General features: G+C 45.5%; 1 protein-coding gene across 48 annotated transcripts in view, besides 3 other annotated features; it reads left to right on the forward strand.

Annotated features, from left to right (window-relative positions):
* Positions 1 to 24,659, forward strand: part of TACC2 (transforming acidic coiled-coil containing protein 2) — a 265,380-nt gene that overhangs the window by 8,667 nt on the left and 232,054 nt on the right. For 39 of the 48 annotated variants that reach the window (NM_001291877.2, NM_206862.4, NM_001438366.1 and 36 more), the window contains exon 2: positions 24,108 to 24,185. In NM_001291877.2, coding sequence (NP_001278806.2) covers positions 24,153 to 24,185 — 33 coding nt within the window. In that variant the 5' untranslated portion in view covers positions 24,108 to 24,152. Of the gene's footprint in view, positions 1 to 21,904; positions 22,053 to 24,107; positions 24,186 to 24,659 lie in introns of those variants that run through there. The other 9 variants (XM_024447757.2, XM_047424448.1, NM_001438365.1 and 6 more) reach the window with 1 other exon arrangement.
* Positions 20,845 to 22,044: an enhancer, noted in NCBI's record as "BRD4-independent group 4 enhancer chr10:123778189-123779388 (GRCh37/hg19 assembly coordinates)". NCBI's record gives its function as "activates an origin of replication core promoter dependent on BRD2, P300/CBP, MED14 and CDK7 cofactors, and independent of BRD4, by STARR-seq in HCT116 cells {active_cell/tissue: HCT116}" and the evidence as "EXISTENCE:reporter gene assay evidence [ECO:0000049][PMID:35650434]".
* Positions 20,845 to 22,447: a biological region, named in NCBI's record as "BRD4-independent group 4 enhancer GRCh37_chr10:123778189-123779388".
* Positions 21,618 to 22,447: an enhancer, noted in NCBI's record as "NANOG-H3K27ac-H3K4me1 hESC enhancer chr10:123778962-123779791 (GRCh37/hg19 assembly coordinates)". NCBI's record gives its function as "activates a minimal SCP1, AML or CMV promoter by ChIP-STARR-seq in primed H9 embryonic stem cells {active_cell/tissue: H9 hESC(primed)}" and the evidence as "EXISTENCE:reporter gene assay evidence [ECO:0000049][PMID:30033119]".

The raw sequence follows: 24,659 nt of genomic DNA on the forward strand, positions 1-24,659 counted from the left end.
GAAAACCAAACTCACTCTGATGCGATCCCGATCCAATGCTCTGAATCCCAAGGAGGCCACAAGCCTAGGGGAGATTTGTCCATCTCAGCCCAAGAGGTCCCATCCCACCCCCAAAGGCAGGCACGAAGACCAAGACTTCAGGTGGTGGCAGCAAGGGAGCAGCCAGACGCTGCTCAAGGAACTGACAAGGAAGACTCCTCGGCTGGGCACGGTGGCTCATGCCTGTAACCCTAGCACTTTGGGAGGCCAAGGCAGGTGGATCACAAGGTCAGGAGTTTGAGACCATCCTGGCCAATATGGTGAAACCCGTCTCTACTAAAAATACAAAAAAAATTAGCTGGGTGTGGTGGCAGGCGCCTGTAGTCCCAGCTACTCGGGAGGCTGAGGGAGGATAATTGCTTGAACCCAGGAGGTGGAGGTTGCAGTGAGCTGAGATCACACCACTGCACTCCAGCCTGGGTGACACAGTGAGACCACGTTCTCAAAAAAAAAAAAAAAAAAAAGGAAGACTCCTTTTTGGGGGCCTGTACTCACCCTTAGCAGATCTCTGAACAATCCACTATGACCCTTGTCCTAGGGTTCTTAATTCAGCTGTGTTTAGAAGAGGTGGATATCACTGTGTTTTTATCATCCTAGTCTGCAGAGGCAAATTTGTTCCTGTTATTCTATCTTGTGATATGTCATGGATAGCAGGAGCAACTCAAGATAGCCACCACCTTGCCAACGTTTCGTAAGTGTTATTAATGAGGGTGTTTAAAATCGACACAGTGGAGAGAGTGGCTGTGATGAGTGACTACTCTGAATTTGTGACCTAAAAAGGGGAAATTCTGCTCCACACTCAAGTCAGGGAACAGCCTCAGGAGAGCTCTGTGCTGGATCGGGTGCCAAAGAGTTGGAAAGAGATTAAACCCAGCAACACTGGCTGACTTTATGCAGCCAAGCCGCTTACATCGGTATAAAGTTCAGGAATGACTGAAATTGGTTGTGTCTCATTGTCTGGGGCTCCAAAGAAATATCCAATCCCTACCAAGATCTGACCTCCTCTGAGTAGCTGCCTTTACTGCATGTTAAGCAAGACTTCAGCCTGAAACATGTATTTCTCCCTGCTTGTGCTCAGTTACATGTGAAAGGACCTGGAAAGGTACAAATGTATGGGAAGCTGGAGTGGCCATTTCTTTCTTTCTTTTTTTTTTTTTTTGAGACGGAGTCTTGCTCTGTCGCCAGGCTGGAGTGCAGTGGCATGATCTCGGCTCACTGCAAGCTCCGCCTCCCAGGTTCAAGCGATTCTACTGCCTCAACCTCCTGAGTAGCTGGGACTACAGGCGTGCACCACCACGCCCAGCTAATTTTTTGTATTTTAGTAGAGACAGGGTTTCACCGTTTTGGCCAGGATGGTCTCAATCTCCTGAACTCGTGATTGGAATGGCCATTTCTAAGTGGGACAAAGATTTTCATTTTGAGGAGACATAATTTTGCAGCTGGCTCCCTGAGCTTAAAAAGCACAGCTTTGTATTCACTTTTGGTCATTCAGAAAAACCATTCCTCTGAATATCCTTTTGCTGAAACTGGTCATAAGGTTCAAGTTAGAATCTGACAAAGTGCTTTTGCATCTCATATTTCATAGCAAACAGATGAGACAAGCAACGCTTGAATCCCAGTTGGTCACAAGCTCATCGCCACATGTGTTCCAAGTCTTTGAAAAGCATTTGGTGATATTACTGTTTGCAGGGCCTGGTGGAAGTTTCCCTATTTGGCATTTGTTGGCGTGCCTCTCTTTGCCCAACACCAGCCTGTTTTACTGCCCCAGGACTGTCAATGCTTTGGCGCATTCCTTCTCCTCATTTGGCATAAACAGAGAGACTTGGGTTGACATGTCTTGGTCCAACAGGTGTGGAGGGAAATGACCCTCTACATACACTGATGTCAATCTTGGAGAAGCAGCTATTAAATAGATAGAGGAAAAACGACAGAGGAAAAACAATGCCCAAGGGCAATCGGTCACTCCTTCCAGAGCTTCGGTCAGATGGGTAGATACCAGGAGTTCAGGAAGTTAACCTTTAGAAGATATGTTCATATGTGGCAAGATCAGTCTGCAGGCCCAAGGTCTAGGAGCCAGGAGTAGTGGTCAGACACGTGGTCCTACGGATCAAACCAGTACAGATGCAAGAGAAGGGCTGAGTGAAGACTTGGGATCCAACACTTGGACTTAGAGTTCTGTTGGAGACACCAGGTCTCATGTATGAAGTGCAACGGGGAAATTCAGTTTAGAAAATGCAAATCGGCTAAGTTCGTTGGCTCACGCCTGTAATCCCAGCACTTTGGGAGGCCGAGGTTGGCGGATCACGAGGTCAGGAGATCGAGACCACGGTGAAACCCCGTCTCTACTAAAAATACAAAAAATTAGCCAGGCTTGGTGGTGGGTGCCTGTAGTCCCAGCTACTCGCAAGGCTAAGGCAGGAGAATGGCGTGAACCCAGGAGGCAGAGCTTGCAGTGAGCAGAGATCGCGCCACTGCACTCCAGCCTGGGCGACAGAATGAGGCTCTGTCTCAAAAAAAAGAGAGAAAGAAAATGCAAATCAAAACTAGCTTACTTTAGTAGCCAAATTACTGGCAGATTGCTCGATGCCTGCTTATGAAGAGATGACCTGATTCCAAAGCCCACCACTGACAAGCCAGAGATTGACTCGGCCAGGATTGGCTTAGGAACTGGAGTGGGCTCTAGTCACAAATGAGGAAGGAAGCATTTCTTTTCCTCCCTTCCACCCTGTCTCCTTTTCTTTCTTAATATTTTATTATGGACTTTTCAAGTATACACCAAAGTAGAGAGAATATTATAAGCATCCTTATGTACCCATTACTGGTTTCTACAATTGTCTACAATGGTTGAGCTTATTTCATTTATTATCCTACTTTCCACTAACATCTGCCTTCCTCCCTCCACTGTTCAATTTTTTTGTTTTGTTTTGTTTTCTGTTTTTTGTTGTTGTTTTGTTTGTTTGTTTTTTAAGAAAGTCTCACTCTGTCACTGTGTCACCCAGGCTGGAGTGTAGTCATGTGATCTTGGCTCACTGCAACCTCCACCTCCTGGGCTCAAGCGATTCTCCTTCCTCAGCCTCCCGAGTAGCTGGGACTACAGGCATGCGCCACCATGCCCAGCTAATTTTTGTATTTTTAATAGAGACATGGTTTCATCATGTTGGCCGGGCTGGTCCTGAACCCCTGACCTCTGGTCATCCACCTGCCGTGGCTTCCCAAAGTGCTGGGATTACAGGCGTGAGCCACTGCTCCTGGCCCTGTTGGATTGTTTTAAAACAAATACTTCCATTGTTTAATCAGTAATATTAAAGTATGTATTTTGTATTAGTTTGTTCTCACACTGCTAATAAAGACATGCCTGAGACCAGGTAATTTATAAAGGAAAGAGGTTTAATTGACTCACAGTTTCACATGTCTGGGGAGGCCTCACAATCATGGCAGAAGGCGAATGAGGAGCAAGGTTATGTCTTACATGGTGGCAGGCAAGAGAACTTGTGTAGGGAAACTTCCCTTTATAAAACCATCAGATCTCTTGAGACTTATTCGCTATCACAAGAGCACCATGGGAAAGACCCACCCTCATGATTCAATTACCTCCCACTGGGTCCCTCCCATGACACATGAGAATTATGGGAGCTACAATTCAAGATGAGATTTGGGTGGCAACAAAGCCACACCATATCATGTCTCTAAAAAATTAGGACTCTTTTTGTAAGTGTATAACCACAGTATCCTTATCATACAAAAAATAAATAATTACGTAATATTAAAAATTGTGTCAGTGTTCAAATATCCCTGGTTGTTTCATTTTTTAAACTTTTGATTTATTTAAAATCAGGATCCAAACGAGTTTCACAAGTTGCTTTTGGTTGATATGTCTCTCAAGGCACTTTTCCATTTCCCCCCAGAGTTTCCATATTTCTCCTATATCCTCCACCATATATACCCTCCAGAAATTTCCTATGTCTTCCACTATTATATCTACCTTTTCCAGTAAATTATTTATGTTATGGTTGTAAGAATTGTTTTTGAGTCTTTGCTAATTCCAAGCTCTGAGTCATCTTTGCATCTGCTTATATTGATTATTTTTCCTCTTGATTATAGGTCATTGTCTTATTCAGCCCAGGCTGCTATAACAGAATATCATAGACTGGTGAATTAAACAACAGAAATTTATTTCTCACAGTTCTGGAGGCTGGGAAGTCCAAGATGAAGGTGCTGGCTAAGGCCCTAGTGAGGATCATCTTCTTGGTTTGCAGATGGCCACCTTCTTGCTGTATCCTCATATGATAAAGGGACCATTTCTCTCAAGTATCTTCTTACAAGGGTACTAATCTCATTCATGAAGATGGAGCCCTCCTGACCTAATCACCTCTCAGATGACTCACCTCCAAATACCTTCACATTGGAGATTAGATTTCAACATATGAATTTGGGGCAGGGGGTATAACATTCAGTCTATAGCAGTATGGTATATTATTTTCTGTATATAGTGTTGGAGTTTGCTAGTATGTTTTTCAATATTTTTGCATCACTCATGTTCATGAGTGATATTGCTTTGTAGTTTTTGTCTGTGTGTGTGTGTGCCATTTTTATCAGGTTGAGGAATCAGTGTCATTCTTCATAAAAGGAATTAAGGTGTTCTTCTGCCTTTAAAATGCTTTGGAATAATTTGTAGAGCACGCTGGGACTATCTGACCTTTAAAGATTTGGTAAAACTCCCTCGTGAAATTATCTGGGCCTGATCTTTTTGTTGTGTTATGGTTCCTTAGTAAATTTCTCTATCGTTTTTCTGTGGAAATAGGTATGTTTAAGTGTTGTAACTTTAGTGGTGTCATTTCTGGCAATCCTCATTTCACTAGGATACTATCCATTTCATTTTTTTATTTGCATAGACATCTGCAAATCAGCCTCTTATAATGTTTAAAATTTCTTCCGTTACAATGGTTATTTCCCTCTTGTAATTTTGTGTGTTTGTGCTTTCTCCCTTTTTCTTTCTGATCAAGGTAGCTAGTAATTTTTCTAGTTTATTCCATTTTTAAGAATTAGGCTTTTGTCTGGGCATGGTGGCTCACACCTGTAATCCCAGCACTTTAGGAGGCCGAAGCAGGCGGATCACCTGAGGTCGGGAGTTTGAAACCAGCCTGGCCAACATGGTGAAACCCCGTCTCTACTAAAACTACAAAAATTAGCCAGACATAGTGGTGGGCACCTGCAATCCCAGCTACTCTGGAGGCTGAGGCAGGAAAATCGCTTGAACCCAGGAGGCGGAGGTTGCAGTGAGCCGAGATCACATCATTGCACTCCCTAGCCTAGACGACAAAGCAAGACTCTGTCTCAAACAAAAAAAAAAGAATTAGGATTTTGATTTGTTCATTAATCGCTCATTTTTCTCTTCTCTACTTCATCTATTTCTGCCTTTAACTTTATTTTTTCTTCTTTGTGCTTTTCTTAGTTTACTTTGTTTTTCCTTTCCAGTTTTTTGAGTTGGGAATTTAATTCATTATTTTCCTTCTTTCATTTTCACTGACAAATATGTTTGATGCAATGAATTTTCCTCTGATCACTGCTTTAAATACATCCCATTGACTCTGATATATATGTAATGTTTTTGCTGTCATTATAAAACTGCCTTTGAAAAGGTTGTAACACTGAAAGAGATCTGACCTAACCAACTCTATTTTGCCTTTAACCTCCAAACTTCCTGTGGTCACTTCCGGATGTGGGCCAAGATAACTTTGGGAGTTTATAGTTTAAACGATAATAGCCCTTTCCAAAACTAAACCACCTTTTTTTTTTTTCTTTTCTGAGATGGAGTCTGGCTCTGTCACCCAGGCTGGAGTGCAATGGCGCGATCTGGGCTCACTGCGAGCTCTGCCTCCCGGGTTCATGCCATTCTCCTGCCTCAGCCTCCCAAATGGCTGGGACTACAGGTGCCTGCCACCATGCCCGGCTAATTTTTTTGTATTTTTAGTAGAGACGGGGTTTCACTGTGTTAGCCAGGATGGTCTCGATCTCCTGATGTCATGATCTGCCTGCCTCAGCCTCCCAAAGTGCTGGGATTACAGGCATGAGCTACTGCGCCCAGCCCTAAACTGCCTTTATAAAACTAATGAAAAGGGCTAGGAGCGGTGGCTTACGCCTGTAATCCTAGCACTTTGGGAGGCCGAGGCAGGCAGAAAACTAATGAAAGTTCACCAAGTTAGGAAGATAAGAGAGGCCTAAATTCTGCTAAGATGTAGGTGTAGTTGGCCAGGCATGGTGGCTCACACCTCTAATTCCAGCACTTTGGGAGGCCGAGGTGGGTGGATCACCTAAGGTCAGGAGTTCAAGATCAGCCTGACCAATATGGTGAAAACCCGTCTCTACTAAAAATACAAAAATTAGTCGGGTGTGGTGGTGGGCACCTGTAGTCCCAGATACTCAGGAGGCTGAGACAGGAGAATTGCTTGAATCTGGGAGGCGGAGGTTGCAGTGAGACAAAATCGTGCTACTGCACTCTAGCCTGGGCGACAGAGCGAGACTCTGTCTCAAAAAAAAAAAAAAAAATTACACTCGTTCCTGAGGTTGAAAGATTTACAACTTCCCCAATTATTCCTGTAAATAAAATCACTATAGTACAACCTAAGGTTAGCCTTTTAAGATGTTTTCAGAGTTTGGCATTTCTGATTACCAGATGATTCCACCTAGACCAGTGACTCCTCTGTGGCCCCACACCCCATCCCCCAGAACTGGACTCAGCACAGGAGGACCTTTTTTCCACATTCCTATGATTGCATCCCCAACCAATTAGCAGCACCCATTCCCGAGCTCCCTGTCCTCCAAACTATCTTTGGAAAACCCTAGACTCTGAATTTTGGGGGAGGCCAATTTAAGTAGTAATAAAACTGGCTCTACATGTATTAAACTCTTTCTCTATTGCAATCCCCCCTCTTGATAAATAGGCTGTATCTAGGTAGCAGGCAGGAAGAACATGTTGGGCACTTACAATTATTATTATTTTGTATTTTGTAATTTAAATTTGTATTTTTGTATTTCCCCTTTTATCTAAGAGTTGTTTTAGTTTTAGATGTATATTTACCTATTTTTTAATCCTCATCCTCAGTGCTTTTACCAAAGTTTTTCCCAGTTATCACTTGGTTGGATGAAATACATCATCTAGTAGATTCCTCAAGACTGAATCTCATGGGTGTAGAATTCAGTAAGTTACTGTATTTTATTTTATTTTTTTTTTGAGACAGAGTCTCACCTTGTCGCCCAGGCTGGAGTGCAATGGTGCAATCCGGGCTCACTGCAACCTCTGCCTCCCGGGTTCAAGTGATTCTCCTGCCTCAGCCTCCCGAGTAAGTGGGATTACAGGCATCCACCACCATGCCCCACTAAGTTTTTTGTATTTTTAATAGAGATGGGGTGTCACCAGTTTACCCAGGCTGGTCTTGAACTCCTGACCTCAGGTGATCCACCCACCTCGGCCTCCCAAAGTGCTGGGATTACAGGTGTGAGCCACCACGCCCAGCTTTTTTTTTTTTTTTTGAGACAGAGTCTTGCTCTGTCGCCCAGGCTGGATGGAGTGCAGTGGCATGATCTCGGCTCACTGCAAGCTCCACCTCCTGGGTTCACGCCATTCTCCCACCTCAGCCTCCCGAGTAGCTGGGACTACAGGCGCTCACCACCACGCCCGGCTGATTTTTTGTATTTTTAGTAGAGATGGGGTTTCACCATGTTAGCCAGAATGGTCTCGATCTCCTGACCTTGTGATCCACCCACCTCGGCCTCCCAAAGTGCTGGGATTACAGGCATGAGCCACCGTGCCTGGCCTTTTTTTTTTTTTTCTTTTTTTTTTTTTGAGATGGAGTCTCACTTTGTTGCCCAGGCTGGAGTGCAATAGCACGACCTTGGCTTACTGCAACCTCCACTCCCCGGGTTCAAGCAATTCTCCTGCCTCAGCCTCCAGAGTAGCTGGGACTCTAGTTGTGCACCACCATGCCCAGCTAATTTTTTGTACTTTTAGTTGAGATGGTGTTTTGCCATGTTGGCCAGGCTGGTCTCAAACTCTGGACCTCAGGTGATCTGCCCGCCTCAGCCTTCCAAAGTGTTGGGATTATAGGTGTAAGCTACCACACCTGGCCTACTGTATGTTGAAAATTGTTTTTCTCTAGCCTTGATACATGAAGAACAGCTTGGCTGGATATAAAATCTTTGGTTCGCACTTTCATTCATGAGTTGTTTTTTGTTTTTCTTTTTTAATGCTGTTTCATTGTTATCTTGCTTTGTTTATTGATTTTTAAAAAATAGGATGCTGGCCAGGCACGGTGGCTCAAGCCTATAATCCCAGCACTTTGGGAGGCCGAGGTGGGTGGATCACGAGGTCAGGAGATCGAGACCATCCTGGCTAACATGGTGAAACCCCGTCTCTACTAAAAATACAAAAAAATTGGCCAGGCATGGTGGCTCACGCCTGTAGTCCCAGCTACACAGGAGGCTGAGGCAGGAGAATGGTGTGAACCTGGGAGGCAGAGCTTGCAGTGAGCCGAGATTGCGCCACTGCACTTCAGCCTGGGCTACAGAGTGAGACTCAGTCTCAAAAAATAAATAAATAAATAAATAAATAAATAAAAAATAGGATGCCACTCTAATCCTTTTGGTTTTGTAAGTTTTTAGATCTTCTTGTCTGGAGGGCTTTTATCTTTTGTCTTTGAAATCTAATAGTTTCACTGGGACATGTCTTGGGATTGATTGTTTTGGGTTAATTTTCCTAGGTATTTAGTGAGTCCTTCCAGCACGTAGATTCAGGTATTTTCCTGTTTCTAGAAATTTTTCTTGAATCAAACATTTTAAATTTTAGCTCTGTTCCACTGTTTTGTTTTTATTTCAGGCACTCCAACAATAGAACTATAATTCCTTCTTTGCCTGTCTCCTATTTTCTTACTTTCTCTCTGATCCTTTTTATTTATTTCTTTATGCCATTTCTTATCCTCTTCATTGCTTTCCTGATTTTTTTTTTTTTTTTTTTGAGATGGAATTTTGCCCTTGTTGCCCAGGCTGGAGTGCAATGGCGTGATCTTGGCTCACCGCAACCTCTGCCTCCCGGGTTCCAGTGATTCTCCTGCCTCAGCCTTCCGAGTAGCTGGGATTATAGGCATGCGCCACCATGTCCAGCTAATTTTTGTATTTTTAGTAGAGACAGGGTTTCTCCATGTTGGTCAGGCTGGTCTCAAACTCCCGACCTTAGGTGATCTGCCAACCTCGGCCTCCCAAAGTTCTGGGATTACAGGTGTGAGCCACCATGCCCGGCCACTTTCCTGATTTTTTTTAATGTCGTTTATTAAATTTTAATTTACATCTGTTATCCCTTGGGTGCCTTATGATTTATTTATTTCTGAGATAATTTTGTCTTTTTCTTATATTTTTTTCTGGAGTTCAATTGACAATCTTTTTATTCCTCCTTGCTTTTTGTCCATTTCTATTTGCACGTTTGAATTTCTGATTCAAGGTATTTTATATATGCTGAAATGCAGACTTGAGAATATTTTATTCTGTTTGGAGTGCTGAGTTAGAATTTTGTTCCTCTTCATAGTTGGTCTCAGGGTGTAAGGAAGATTTTCCTCAAGTAATATGTGTGAAATATTATCTCCTTTTTCTGTTTTGTTTTTCAAAAGCTCTGTGTGGACTTGTTGACCTTCTTCTTGTCCGTTTTTATGGCACTGAGGTGTTTTACAGGATTCCTAGTTTAACAGTCGCCTGGTCTGTCTGTACACAGGCCATGTTTGTTAGGGTGAAGTTCAAGAACGTTTCTGAGTCCTTTTATTTTGTGATGCTCTTTTCTTTTCATAGAACTCTAACTTTTCTTTTTTTTCTTTCTTTTCCCCATTTAACACTGCTGTGGTTTGAATGTTTATCTTTTCCAAAACTCTCATTGAAATTCAGTCCCCAATGTGGCAGCATTGAAAGGTGGGGCCTTTAATAGGAGGAAGATGAATTAATCCACTCATGAATTAATAGATTAATGGGTCATGATGGGAGTGGGTTAGTTATCAACAGAGTGGGCCTGTTATGAAAGCCAATTTGGCGTACTCTAGCCTCTTGCCATGTGATGCCTCTGACCACCTCAGGACTCTGCAGAGAGTCCTCCCACCAGCAAGAAAGCCCTCACCGCGTGTGGCTCCTTAACCTTGGATTTCCCAGCCTCCAGAACTGTAAGAAGTACATTTCTTTGTATCACAAATTACCCAGTCTATAGTATTCTGTTATAGGAACAGAAGATGGACCAAGACAAACACCCAGTTGCCATTGGGTATTCCTATTATCATTTCTGCCTTTTTTTTCCCCCTAGAAGCCATGCATTTTGAAGGCTGTCCTTTGAATTCTGTCTATCCCTTTGTTATTATTATTATTATTATTTTTTTTTTTTGAGACAGAATTTTGCTCTTGTTGCCAAGGCTGGAGTGCAGTGGTGCGATCTTGGCTCACTGCAACCTCTCGCCTCCCAGGTTCAAGCGATTCTCCTGCCTCAGCCTCTCGAGTAGCCGGGATTACAGGCATGTGCCACCAGGCCTGGCTAATATTGTAGTTTCAGTAGAGACAGGGTTTCTCCATGTTGGTCAGGCTGGTCTCGAACTCCCGACCTCAGGTGATCTGCCCGCCTTGGCCTCCCAAAGTCCTGGGATTACAGGCATGAGCCACTGCGCCCAGCACTATTATTATTTTTTAACCTTTATTATTTTTGAGATGGAGTCTCACTCTGTCACCCAGGCTGGAGTGCAGTGGCACAGTCTCTACTTACTGCAGCCTCTGCCTCCCGGGTTCATGCGATTCTCCTGCCTCAGCCTCCCAAGTAGCTGGGATTACAGGCGCCAGCCACCACACCTGGCTAATTTTTGTATTTTTAGTAGAGATGGGGTTTTGCCATGTTGGCCAGGCTGGTCTCAAACTCCTGACCTCAAGCGATCCACTCACCTTGGCCTCCCAAAGTGCTGGGATAACAGGCATGAGCCACCATGCCCAGCCGTACATATCCCTTTAAATTCCATGTGCTTTGAAATTCCTTTGTAATAGTCCCTGCTGTGACCTGCTCAGACATTTTTTAAAGAATTTTCTATGTTTGGGTATACTTAATCATCTGACAATAATGCTAGACCAATGTAGGCCCTTTTCACTAGCTGCCCTCTGTATTGTCCCAACTGTTTCTAGGGAACTGGGTCTACCTTTGTTCTCTACAAACACTTGTGGTAGGGTGAGGGCAGGTGCATGAGAAAAATCCAGGATTTTCTGACTTTCCTCTTTTTATTTACAGTTTTGAAAAGTGATTACACTTCTCTGTTTTATTTTCTGTCTTCAAGTTATAGAAAGTCTACCTTTTGTGTACATTTATTTTTCCTTTCTCATTGTTTTATATCACTTTGGGAGGAAGTATTGGGAGACAGGTAACTGGAGGCCTCTATTATTTTCAGTTACCACAAAAGCTAACTTAAAAACAAACAAATATGAAATTAGCTGGGTGTGGTGGTGCATGCCTGTAATCTCAGCTACTCGGGAGGCTGAGGCAGGAGAATCGCTCAAATCTGGGAGGCAGAGGTTGCAGTGAGCAGAGATCGTGCCACTGCATTCCAGCCTGGGTGACAGAGAGAGACTCCCTCTCAACAAAAGCCCACAAAAAACAAATCTGATTAAGGTGTTCTTCTGTTCTTGCTCTTGCTGGGGAGAAGTATAAACTGGCCAAATGGTACTTAACAAAGTCTTATTAATTAAGGACATTTAAAAATTATATAATGGTTGTTATTGGCCAGGCACGGTGGCTCACACCTTTAATCCCAGCACTTTGGGAGGCCGAAGCAGGTGGATCACAAGGTCAGGAGAGTGAGACCATCCTGGCCAACTTGATGAAACCCCATCTCTACTGAAAATACAAAAATTAGCTGGGCATGGGGGTGCGCGCCTGTAGTCCCAGCTACTCAGGAGGCTGAGGTAGGAGAATGGCTTGAACCTAGGAGGCGGAGGTTGCAGTGAGCCAAGATTGCACCACTGCACTCCAGCCTGGTGACAGAGTGAGACTCTGTTTTCAATAAGGTTGCCTGGGAAACAGAGGTTTTAAAAAGCTATTTTTAATTTAAATAATAAAGTAGCCTGATGTTAGCGAAAACTCTCTCTGAGGTCAGATGATTGCATTTGCAAAGTCCTATGATGTCACATGGAAGGCAAATATCTGCAGTTTCTTAGTTCTGCTCTGACATGTGTGTCATCAGGAATAATCTCTTTGCCTCTGGTGTAGTTGGCACCGACACTATCCCTTTCTCAAAATCTCTCCCATGTTGTTTGTGCTGGAACAGCCTCCCCACCCCTTCATTCTGTCATCCCTCTCCCTTGCCTTAACCCACAATTCTTCATGATGTTGATACTGTATTTGATATCCAAAAATGACAGCATAGTTTAGCTTTGGGGTTCAAACTGATGTCTGAGTTTTTGTGGGTTACAGCAGCTTGTTTTAATAAGAATATGGTTTTTTGCTAATCTTGTCTGCAGAGAGGGACGGTATGGAAATTGCGAGTAAGGGGAACCTTATATTTTAATGTGTCATCAAATATCTGGTTTAGCAGGGGAAAAAGAGGCCCTTTACTGCAAATCATGTTTCCATTTTGCAATTCCAGAATGGAATGCTCAGAGCCTCATCCCCAGAGAGGTTGACACACTCTAGCATCTTGATGACACTGGGTCTGGCATAGACCAAGACAACACTGGTGGCTGCCACTCAAGGGACCATGCCAGTAAATGGTCATTTCAACAGTGGAGAGGGATTGGACGCATCCCTCAGTCTTCCCTCGTGTGGCATCCTTTGGGATACAATGCTTAGATCTTCATGACTGCCAGCCACAATTGGGTGCAGGCTGGTGTGAAGGAAAGGAAAGTGAGAGCCTCTGGGGAAATCTTATCAGTTAGCTTTTGCAACATCACAAACCACCCCAACACTTAGTGGTTTAAGACAAGAATTTATTTATTTAGCTTTTGATCCTGTGGGTTGGCAACTTGGGATGGACTTAGCAGTCCTTCTGGGTGGTTCTCTTGGTCTCAGCTGAGATCCCTCATGTGTCGGTGTTCAGCTGTGGGTTGGCTTGCTACCAGCTACCACTCACCAGCCATGAAAACAAGGGAATATGCTGACTGTAGTCTCTGAACAAGGCAAATTTAGGTTGGCTCTTGGGTAAAGGCCTGTGGCCCAATCTAAGACGATGGTCCAACTAGATTAGCCCCATTAGTCCTTGGGCCTCACCACTGACCATTACCCAGTTGGGTGAGGGAGCAGACAGAGAGCTAGGTAGACAGGGATGCAGGGTCAGGTAGACAGTGACACAGGGCCAGGTGGAGAGGGACATAGTGTGGCTGGGGAAGTGGGAAGGGTGCAGCCAAACTGGGGAGAAAGGAGATAGCTCTGCAGCCCTGCACTGCTCTTATGTTTTTTGTTTGTTTGTTTGTTTTTGTTTTTTGTTTTAAGACAGAGTCTCGCTCTGTTGCCAGGCTGGGGTGCAGTGGCGGGCTCTCGGCTCACTGCAACCTCCACTTCCCGGGTTCAAGCGATTCTCCTGCCTTAGCCTCCCGAGTAGCTGGGACTACAGGTGCACGCCACCACGCCCAGCTAATTTTTGTATTTTCAGTAGAGACAGGGTTTCACCATGGTGACCAGGATGCTCTTGATCTCTTCACCTCGTGATCTGCCCACCTCGGCCTCCCAAAGTGCTGGGATTACAGGTATGAGCGGCCGTGCCTGGCCATAGTCCCTCTCAATTCTAATAGCCTGTGATAGAGCTTGACACTTGGATGGCAGGAAGTCTAGGCTGCAATTAGGTGATAATTTGTTGTTGGTGGTGGTGGTGATGGGAATCTGAAACAACATCTTATTAACGTTGGAACCAATGAATGGAGTGAACTCACTTTACTATTCCTTTAATTGAACAAATATTTATTGGATTCCAGTGCAAAGAGTCCTGAACCAGGAGAAAGAAGACCTAGGTTTGGATCTCAGCTCTGCCAGCATATCAGTCAGAGTTGATGAAAACCTTCCAGTTTTTTGTTTTTGTTTGCTGGTTTGTTTTTGTTTTGAGATGGAGTCTCACTTTGTCACCTAGGCTGGAGTGCAGTAGCAAGATCTTGGCTCCCTGCAACCTCCACCTCCCAGGTTCAAATGATTCTCCCGCTTCCGCCTCCCAAGTTTCTGGAACTACAGGCACCCGCCACCATGCCTGGCTAATTTTTGTATTTTTAGTAAAGATGGGGCTTCACCCTGGCCGGACACGGTAGCTCATGCCTGTAATCCCAGCACTTTGGGAGGCCAAGGCGGGTGGATCATGAGGTCAGGAGATTGAGACAATCCTGGCAAACATGGTGAAACCCCATCTCTACTAAAAATACAAAAATTAGCTGGGTGTGGTGGCACATGCCTGTAATCCCAGCTACTCAGGAGGCTGAGGCTGGAGAATCGCTTGAACCCAGGAGGCGGGGGTTGCAGTGAGCCGAGATCACGCCACTGCACTCCAGCCTGGTGCCAGAGCAAGACTCCGTCTCAAAAAAAAAAAAAAAAAAAAAGATGGGGTTTCGCCATGTTGGCCAGGCTGATCTCGAACTCTTGACCTCAGGTGATCGGCCTGCCTTGGCCTCCCAAAGTGCTAGGATTACAAGCATGAGCCACCACTCCCAGCCAAACCTCCCAGTTATTTTAATAGAATTCAATATATGAAGAATTGTTATCTATGTAAGTAGAAAGGCAAAAAGCAAACTCTCAGGTGTAATGGAAGGTAGCAACTTCAGAAAGCAGCTACCACCCTTAAGCCTGGGGGAGCAAAGAGTAGAAGTTGAAATTATTAAAATTTGGAAGATTAGAGGAGGAGCCCCACAGAAGTGAACCTCAGAGCTCCATGGAGGGGGCTCCAGGTGGCTGGAGCTGGCATCCTTGAGGGAGCACCATGTGGGGGTGCTGCAGGAATCAGTAAAACTGCAAACTCGGTTCTTTCACTGCTGAGGGAGGGAACTGCTACTGCCTGGGTGAAGCAGTGGGCCACGGTGCTGCTCATAGAAACAAGAAACAGACCGGAAGGAGTGTGTCTGGCCTCTGGCCCCTCCTGGCAGAGCTTCTTGAAGAGCAGTTGGCAAAGCAGAAATGGGGCTTGCAGAGTCCCCCAACATCTGAATGTGGGGGATTTGGAGATGACAAGCAGTAACTAATAACCGGCCCAGCCTCTCACGAGCAGAGGGCTGGATATGTCAGTCCTGTGTCTGATCACTGGGTCATGAGAGCAGGGACTCTCTGAGGTTTTCCCAGCCCTGATATTCTACAAGATTGGAATTTTCTACATCAAAATTTCTAGGTGGCCTCCAAGGTGGAGGAAAGGAAGAAAACAGCAGGCTAAGGGGAGAGTGTGAAGGAAGAGTCATCATTTCACTCAAACCCCACAGAGCAGCCAGGTGCTTGGTGCTGTGAAGGTCTCCTGCCAGAGCAGAAGGCAAGCAACCTCTCTAACAAATCTCTTTCCTGGGCTACGGCTGTTTGTTTGTATTAAAACGGGAACATGATAACAGAGCTATTAGTAGCTCCATGCTCAGCTGTGCAAGGTAGGGAGTTAGAGCACTGAATTCAGTCACTGGAGAAAGAAGCTGAGGTCTCCTGATGGCCCTAGGATGAGGGCTGGGCTATCTGTGAATAGCAATGGGCTTAGGTCGCTGGGTTTGTCAAGCAGCCACGGGAGCTGCTGGGTCAGGTGAACCTGAGCTCCCCCTCGATGAGCAAACACAACTTGGACCATGTCCTCCACTGACACAGAACCCGACTGCCCGAGCCCTCTGTGGCTGGGGAGCAATGCCATGGCAGAAAACGCAGTTCTGATCTGAGCTTGCTGGTCTGGTCTGGAGAAGCAATTCAGAGCCTGTAGGGCCCTGGTCGAGATGAGAGAAGGCAAGCCTGTGTGAAGCCAGTTCTGGTTCCAGCCTTGGAACTGGAAGACTGTGGGATGTTGGGTAAATCATTTCCAACCTCTAGGCCTCAGCTTCCTCATCTGTAAAAAGAGGCTTTGGAGAGGGTGGTCTTCAAGTTTCTTCCAGCACTAACAATCTAAATTATTCTATGTAGGAGAAAAATCAGAATTTATTAAACTTATAAAACAGATACATTTCTATCATGCTGCAAAAAAAAAGATAATTTTTTCAATAGAGAATAAAAACTCTAATAGAAAACATGATGCGATTGTCTAACATATCAACAAATCCCAATAGATCATTACTAGGCTGTACTAACAGAGAAGTATAGGGTAAAGACTTTGGGCAAGCTGCAAAACCTCTCTAAGCCTTCATCTTACCATTGATGAAATGAGACCTGTGTAATTTTTTTTTTTTTGAGTTTTGCTCCAGGCTGGAGTGCAATGGCATGATCTTGGCTCACTGCAACCTCCGCCTAGCGAGTTCAAGCGATTCTCCTGCCTCAGCCTCCAGAGTAGCTGGGATTACAGGCACCTGCCACCATGCCCAGCTAATTTTTTGTATTTTTAGTAGAGATGGCATTTCACTATGTTGGCCAGGCTGGTGTTGAACTCCTGACCTCAGGCGATCCACCTGCCTCAGCCTCCTAAAGGGCTGGGATTACAGGCATGAGCCACCATACCCGGCCAAGACCTGTGTGATCTTGTCTCCGATTCCTTAGCTCCCTGCCCCTCTCCACCCCATGCTCAGTGTATAAAATGGGGCATCAGCCTGGCCTAGACCTCACAGTCCTAGCAATGTCTTCCACCTGCTCTGCCCACTGTGGCTTCTGCAGTCTTGCTGCTGTGTTGGTTCTCATGTTTCCATTTCCCCTTCTCTTGCAGACCTGCCCATAGGGCCCAAGTCCCCAGTTATGCTCTTGGTCATCTTGGCCATGGTTCTGCCTACCCATTTCTTCTAGGCTGCCTCAGCCACAGTGATTAGTCACCTGGCCCAAACCTGTACCTTCCACTCTCCTCCCTGATCAAAGAGAGGGATCACATGAGATGGTACCTTCCAAACCAGCTTTAGTTGCCAACAACTAGAAAGCCATGCTCTGTTATAAAACTAAATAAACAAGAGATAAAGGCGGAAGTTATCTTTGAATTCTTTGCAAAAATCTTCTCAAGGTGGTAGTGTCATATTGTTCATTGAATGCAGGATCTCCATCCTTCCTCCTGCTCTCTGGTGGACTTTGGCCAAACCACTTATGGTACTTACAGGCTTTGGCAGTTCATCTGCTATAAAAAAAAAAAAAAAGGACAAAACATATCTCATAGCTTTGCCCTAAGTATGAAAGAGGACATAAGTACCTAACAGAGCTTGGCACATTAAAAAAACAAAAACAAAAACTCAATGTTGGCCCGGCACGGTGGCTCATGCTTGTAATCCCAGCACTTTAGGAGGCCGAGGTGGGGGGATCACCTGAGGTCAGGAGGTCGAGACCAGCCTGCCCAACATGGTGAAACCCGGTCTCTACTAAAAATACAAAAATTAGCTGGGAGTGGTGGCACGCACCTGTAGTCTCAGCTACTCAGGAGGCTGAGGCAGGAGAATCACTTGAACCCAGGAAGCAGAGGTTGCAGTGAGCCCAGATCGTGCCACTGCACTCCAGCCTAGGTGACAGAGTGAGACTCCATCTCAAACAAACAAATAAAGAAACAAAAAAACTCAATGTTTATGAAATGCATTAATAAGAAGTGAATTAGGCTGGGCACAGTGTTTCATGCCTGTAATCCTAGCACTTTGGGAGGTTGAGGTGGGCGGATCACCTGAAGTCAGGACTTTGAGACCAGCCTGGCCAACATGGTGAAAACCCATCTCTACTAAAAATACAAAAGTTAGCCAGGCATGGTGGTGCATGCCTGTAATCCCAGCTACTCAGGAGGCTGAGGCAGGAGAATCACTTGAACCCGGGAGGGGGAGGTTGCAGTGAGCCGAGATCGCTGGTGCAGGATTTAACCAAATCCACCCCTCCCAGCAAACATCCTTTCCTCTTCCTTCATCACAGCTTCTCTGTTCCAAGGCCATTCCCTCTGTGCCCTCAGTGTTTAAATGCTTTGCACTTTACATTCCAGGATCCCAAAATGTTAAAAAAAAAAAAATTAGAAAAATCAGTGGGGGTATGGTGGCTCACACATGTAATCCTAGCACTTTGGGAAGCTGAGGCAGGTGGATTGCTTGAGCCCAGGAATTGGAGACCAGCCTGGGCAACATGGCGAAACCTCATCTCTACAAAAAAATACTAAGAGTAGCCAGGCATGGTGGTGCACACCTGTAGTCCCAGCTAGTTGGGAGGCTGAGATGGGATGATCGCTTGAGCCCGGAAGATCAAGTCTGCAGTGAGCCATGATCGTGCCACTGCACTCCAGCCTGGGTGACAGAGTGAGACCCTGTCTGAAAAAAAAAAGGAAAAAAAAAAAAAAGCCAGGCGCGGTGGCTCATGCCTATAATCCCAGTACTTTTGAAGGCCGAGGCAGGTGGATCACGAGGTCAAGAGTTCGAGATCAGCCTGGCCAACATGGCGAAACCCCGTCTCTACTAAAACTACGAAAATTAGCTGGGTGTGGTGGCACGTTCCTGTAGTCCCAGCTCCTCGGGAGGCTGAGGCAGAAGAATTGCTTGAACCCGGGAGATGGAGGTTGCAGTGAGCCGAGATTGCACCACTGTACTCCAGCCTGGACGACAGAATGAGACTCTGTCTTAAAAAAAAAAAAAAAAAAAGTCAGTCCCTGCACACCTGAGGCCTTTCTCACCTCTGTGGTCTGAAGCTCTAGTTAAGATTGGTTTAAACTGCCCCATTCTGAGCACTGTGGGGTGTCATTGCCTTCCCAAAGACATCTCTAAATGCCTCAGCTTTACATTTCCCCCAGCTTCTTCCGACTCCAAGTTTCTTCTTCTATAAGATGCTTAATTTGTGTCCCCACGAAATTCATATGTGGAAATCCTAACCCTAGTACCTTAGAATGTGATTGCCTTTGGAGATAAGACCTTTCAAGAGGTAATTAAGGTAAAATGAAGCCCTATGGGGGTGCCTAATCCAACATGACTGTTGTCCTTAGAAGAAGAGATTAGGACATAGACGGGCAAAGAGGGAAGACCATGTGAAGACATGGGGAGAAGACTGCCATCCACAAGCCAAAAAGAGAAGACTCAGAAGACACCAACCCGGCCAAAACCTTGATCTCGAACGTCCAGCCTCCAGGAAGATGAGACAATAACTTGCTGAAGCCACCGAATCTGTGGTGGTGTTACAGCAGCCGGAGCTGACCAGAGCAGCCTCTCCTCTCTGCTCAGAGCATTCGCGCTCTCACAGAAGCCCCAATCACCCCAGGCATTCGTGTGGGCCGCAGAGTTGACAGTTTCTGGAGGGTGGTTTCTGGAAAGTGGTTTCTGGAGGGTGCTTTTTGGATTTTACATCACAGCAGCGCACACAGATGGAAGATTGCACATGCGTCGCCTGCGAAGTCCCCTGTGCCGCCGCCGTTTTGGTGAGCCATCTTCTCTCCCTCCCTCCCTGCCAGTCCTCAGGAGTAGCCCCTAGTTCTTCTCCTTCCTTTGCCAGGGCTTTCCCTGTGTTTTGCCGCCTGTTGAAGACTTGCCGCCATTCCCAATTGGCTCATTCAAGACATTTTGCCTAATAAGATTCTCCTTCTTAGAAAAATTCTTCTGTGGCCAGGCATAGTGGCTTATGCCTGTAATCCCAGCACTTTGGGAGGCTGAGGCAGGCGGATCGCTTGAGCCTAGGAGTTGGAGACCAACCTGGCCAACATGGCAAAACCCGGTCTCTGCTTAAAATACAAAAGTTAGTCTGGCGTGGTGGTGGGTGCCTGTAGTCCCAGCTACTAGGGAGGCTGAGGCAGGAGAATCGCTTGAACCCTAGAGGCAGAGGTTTCAGTGAGCCGAGATCGCGCCACTGCACTTCATCCAGCCTGAGTGACAGAGTGAAACTGTCTCAAAAAAAAAAAAAAAAAAAAGACAAAGAAAAGAAAAAGAAAAAGAAAAATTCTTCTGTGGTTTTTTTGAGGGGGAAGAGGCAAACAGTCTTGTCTCTCATCCCTCCAAACATTTTTTTTAACCTGGTAGTGGAATTCTTTTTTTTTTTTTAATGTAAAAGTAGACCTCATTCGTTTTATTTATTTATTTCTTCTAAAAAAAAAAACAGGATACATGTGCAGAACGTGCAGGTTTGTTACATAGGTATATGTGTGCCATGGTGGTTTGCTGCATCTATTGACCCATCCTCCAACTTCCCGCTTCTCACCCCCATCCCCCAACAGGCCCTGGTGTATGTTGTTCCCCTCTCTGTGTCCATGTGTTCTCAATGTTCAACTGCCACTTATGAGTGAGAACATGCGGTGTTTGGTTTTCTGTTCCTGTGTTAGTTTGCTGAGGATGATGGCTTCCAGCTTCATCCATGTCCCTGCAAAAGACATGAACTCATTCTTTTTTAGGGCTGCAAATTCTTTTTTCAAACAATGTCTTATGCAGAAACCCCATATATGAAACATTTACACTTGTAAAACTTCGGGTGAAATTCACCTTATATAAAATTAAACATTTGAAAGTGAGCAATTCAGTGGCATTTAGTATATCACAATGCTGTGAAACCACCACTTCTATTTAGTTCCAAAACATTTTCATCACCCTAAAAAAAAATCCTGTGCCCATTAAGCCGATATTTCCCCTTCCCCCAGCCCCTGACAACAACCAGTCTGGTTTCTGGCTCTATGAATTTGCTTAACTCTGGCTATTTCCTATCAATGGGATCGTAAAATCTATGACCTTTTGTGCCTGGCTTCTTTCACTTCGGGTGAGGCTTTTGGAGTTCCTCCTCGTTGTAGCATGTCAGTACTTCATTCCTTTTCATGTCTGAAGAATATTCCATTGTATGGAGAGACGGCATTTTGTTTATCCATTCGTCTGTTGAAACATACACACTTCTGCTCTGTTCCAACCAGAAGCGGGGCACTGAGCTCCCCCTCCTCATCTAGCTTCCTCCACCACCTCCAAGGAGCTCCTAAGGGTCCTCTGAGCTTGGTAAGATGCCTGGTCTCCGGGAAGCCTTTGATGAAATAAATGCTCATTTGTTTCCATGGAGTGGTCCTACCTTGTGGCAGGGGTAAGGCGCTTCCATTTGCCTGAAAGGCTCTGCCCTACACAAAAATAGAAACTGGTTGCATGCATGCAAAGGATGGCTGAGTGGTAATAACTGGAGGAACTGCGGACAGCCGGAGGCTGCGGGGCCGGAGGGTCTTTGGGTCGGTACTCTGCCCCACCGGAGGTCCACAGGGCCTCCTCCATCCAGGGTGGGCCGGCAAGTCTGCCTATCAGCGATCTGGGCAAGCCTGCTACTTTTTATGACCTCACTTGCCGAAACTCAAGCCACGCCTGGGTAAGTACATTCTGCACACTCCATAAACAGGTGCCAGACTGCCGCGTCATCACATTTTTGCAAGTTTTTGTTTTTTCTTTTTGTATGTGCGTTTCCACATTATTTACGGCGGAATTTGCCCAGGTGCAAACAGGAAGCCCTGGGAGCAGTTGGCTTATTTTTAGAAAGAAAGGTTTGTTCCCGGCCCGACTGCATAAAGGGCAAGAGAGAAGTGAGAGGTTCCTGGCGCAAGGCTCCTTGCAAAGGACAGTTCTGAGCTGCTAGGTGCGGCCAATCAGATGGCAGGGGCCGCTTTAGTTTGGATAAGCCTTTTCTGAAAGGAGCCCTGCTGATGTAATAACGGGGAAAATCCCTGTGTGAAAGGCCCTGAAACTGACGGGCTGGGAAACGCTGATTCCCTGTGGGCAGGAACGCTTGTCTAATTGCGACGGCCCTGCACGGCTCCTGCCCAGGTATGAAGTGCAGCTGGCTTGCACCAGTGCGAGGGCGGAGACGCGCTGCTTGAGGTGTGTCAGGGCCTCTGCTTAGAACTCGCGCAATTCTGAACGGAGGAGGAGAAAGTCCAGTTGCTGAAGGGCAGAATTTCCATGCGCCCGCAGCTTCCAAGTCCAGACCACCCCCGAATGTAAGTAGGAGGCAGAGATGTGTGCACCTTCGGTTCTGTCTTGGGAAAGCCGGAGAGGGTGGTGGTTGCAGAGTTCCCTAGAAGAGGATTCCAGACGCAGCCAGGCTTCCCTCGGCGGTTTTACAATTTACACCTCACCAGGAGTTTTGCCGGTCTCTTTAGTCTGTTTGTTTAAAAAGCTAGTTCAGATGCCTTGATTTTTAATAAGATTATTGTATTTAATTTGGTTAATGATTGTCACAAATTAATATTACATTCAACCTTATGATTCAACCTGGAAGATACAAGGAAGTTAATAACTGATAAGGCAGTGATTCTTCTAACACTCAATATTTTCTAATGAGGGATCATCTTCCAAATGAACATAAAAAATAAATGGAAGTGATTAATTTTAAATGCATGCAGATTTTTACGTTCTCTGAGCATGTGATTGTGTGTGTGTGTGTGTGTGTGTGTGTCTACAGCAAAAGGCAAGAAAGGATTAAGGTATCATATCCTTTTGATTGAAGGGTTAGGAGTGAAAGAATTGAATGCTGTGGTGACGTCACTCAGTTTTCTTAGTTTGGAGGCATTTTAATTGGGCCTGTTTGAACCACTTCCATTTTATTTTCCAGTGATGGTTCAGTACGCATAGTGCAGGGTGGCTACGCAATCAGTGTTGCTTAAATGAATAAGCAAGTCAATGGGTGAATTTTAAGCTCTCCGAGGAAACGCTATGATGAAAACCATATTTCCATGAAGAAATCTTCAATTAGAAGGCTGGAGTTTGAGGTTTATTTCCAACTTTTGGCCTCCCCAAACTGAGTCTTTGGCAAGCTCCTTACCTTTTCCAGCCTGAGTTCCCCCACTGGGTTAGACTGGTCATCTCTACGGCTCCAGCTCTAAAAGTCTATGATTCTTAAGGATTTTCTGTAATTTAGTTTTTCTAACTAGAAAAAGTGAAGGTAACACCTCTAGGCCTGAATATGTTACAGCGTCTTATGGAATTCAGTTGGATGAGGTCAATAAGTGTACTGGGCTTCTCTGTGAACTGTGTGGGAAGCACCCTAATTAAGATGATCATTAATAGGCCGGGCGCGGTGGCTCATGCCTGTAATCCCAGCACTTTGGGAGGCCAAGGTGGGTGGATTACGAGGTCAGGAGTTCAAGACCAGCCTGGCCAAGATGGTGAAACCCCGTCTCTACTAAAAATACAAAAATTAGCCAGGTGTGGTGGCGGGCGTCTGTAATCCCAGCTACTCAGGAGGCTGAGGCAGAGAATTGCTTGAACCCAGGAGGTGGAAGTTGCAGTGAGTCGAGATCGTGCCACTGCACTCTAGCCTGGGCGACAGAGTGAGACTCCATCTCGAAAAAAAAAAGGCGGGGGGGAAGAAAGATCATTAATAAACCATGTCACTAAGTGAGCTCATGAAATGATTCTAGTTGACCTGGCAGTATGCTGCCTTACATGATCTCGTCTGGTCCCAATCTCCCATTTTCCTTAGCAAGAAAGCCATTCTGCCTTGATAAAAAGTGTGTGCAGAAGTGAAACTGATTTGATGAAACAAGTGTTTAGAGTAAAAAAATAAAAACCATATGTTGTTGGAGAGCAGTGGATTTCACACCTCCTGATGTCTGACACCGAGCTCTGCCGTCACCAACAGTGGGAAACCAGCCACACTCTGAATTTCCAAACTGAACACAATTAGAAACAGAAAATAATCTGACAAGCAGCATTCCTCAGGCCCTTTGGCAAACGGACCCCTTTTGTCACTCCGTTTGTATATATACGTATATGTGTACGCTGGCACTAGCTCAGAGTCTCAGTAACAAACCCGTTTTTCAGAAGTGTCTGCCAACCCCGGGGTGGGGAATGAAAACACCAGCCCGTATTGGGAAAGAAACCTGGGTGGCAGATCACGAAAGAAAACCCTTCAAAAGTAATTTTCCATGATGTGACCGTAGAGATAAACATTTCCCATCATCTGGCTTTTGAGTTTGGGGAGATGAGCAGACAGAAAAAACCTCAGATCTTTTTTCATTTCACAGACGTTTATACCCTTTTGTTTCTTCCAGTCACCTCTGACAAAATTCTGGGGACGCTGGGAACACTGAATCAACATGGGCAATGAGAACAGCACCTCGGACAACCAGGTGGGTGTCAGGAAGCTTCTCTCTCGAGCTACGTGGTGCTCTTGGCAGACCTTGACTAGGTTCTTTTTACAGCGTCTCATCTTCACCCAGGAAGGAGCAAACAAGACAGCTTCTGCGTAGATGTGTGCGGGCATTTATGGATCTATGCAGCCATTTTTCATTTCATTGGAATTCTCTTACGATTAAGGCTAGCTCTAGTTAAAGCCGGAAACGCTAATTCTACTTATTATTTATTATTATTTTTAAAGACATGGTCTTGCTCTGTCACCCAGGCTTGAATGCAGTGGCATGATCATAGCTCACTGCAGCCTCAAACACCTGGACTAAAGCGATCCTCCTGCCACACAGCCTTCCAAGTGTCTGGGACTACAGGCATGCACCACCACGCCTGGCTAATTTTTTAATGTTTAGGTTTTGTAGAGATGGGGTCTGGCTATGTTGCCCAGGCTGGCCTTGAACTCCCGGACTCAAGTA

The sequence above is a fragment of the Homo sapiens genome, chromosome 10 (assembly GCF_000001405.40).
Source record: "Homo sapiens chromosome 10, GRCh38.p14 Primary Assembly".
NCBI classification, from domain to species: domain Eukaryota; kingdom Metazoa; phylum Chordata; class Mammalia; order Primates; family Hominidae; genus Homo; species Homo sapiens.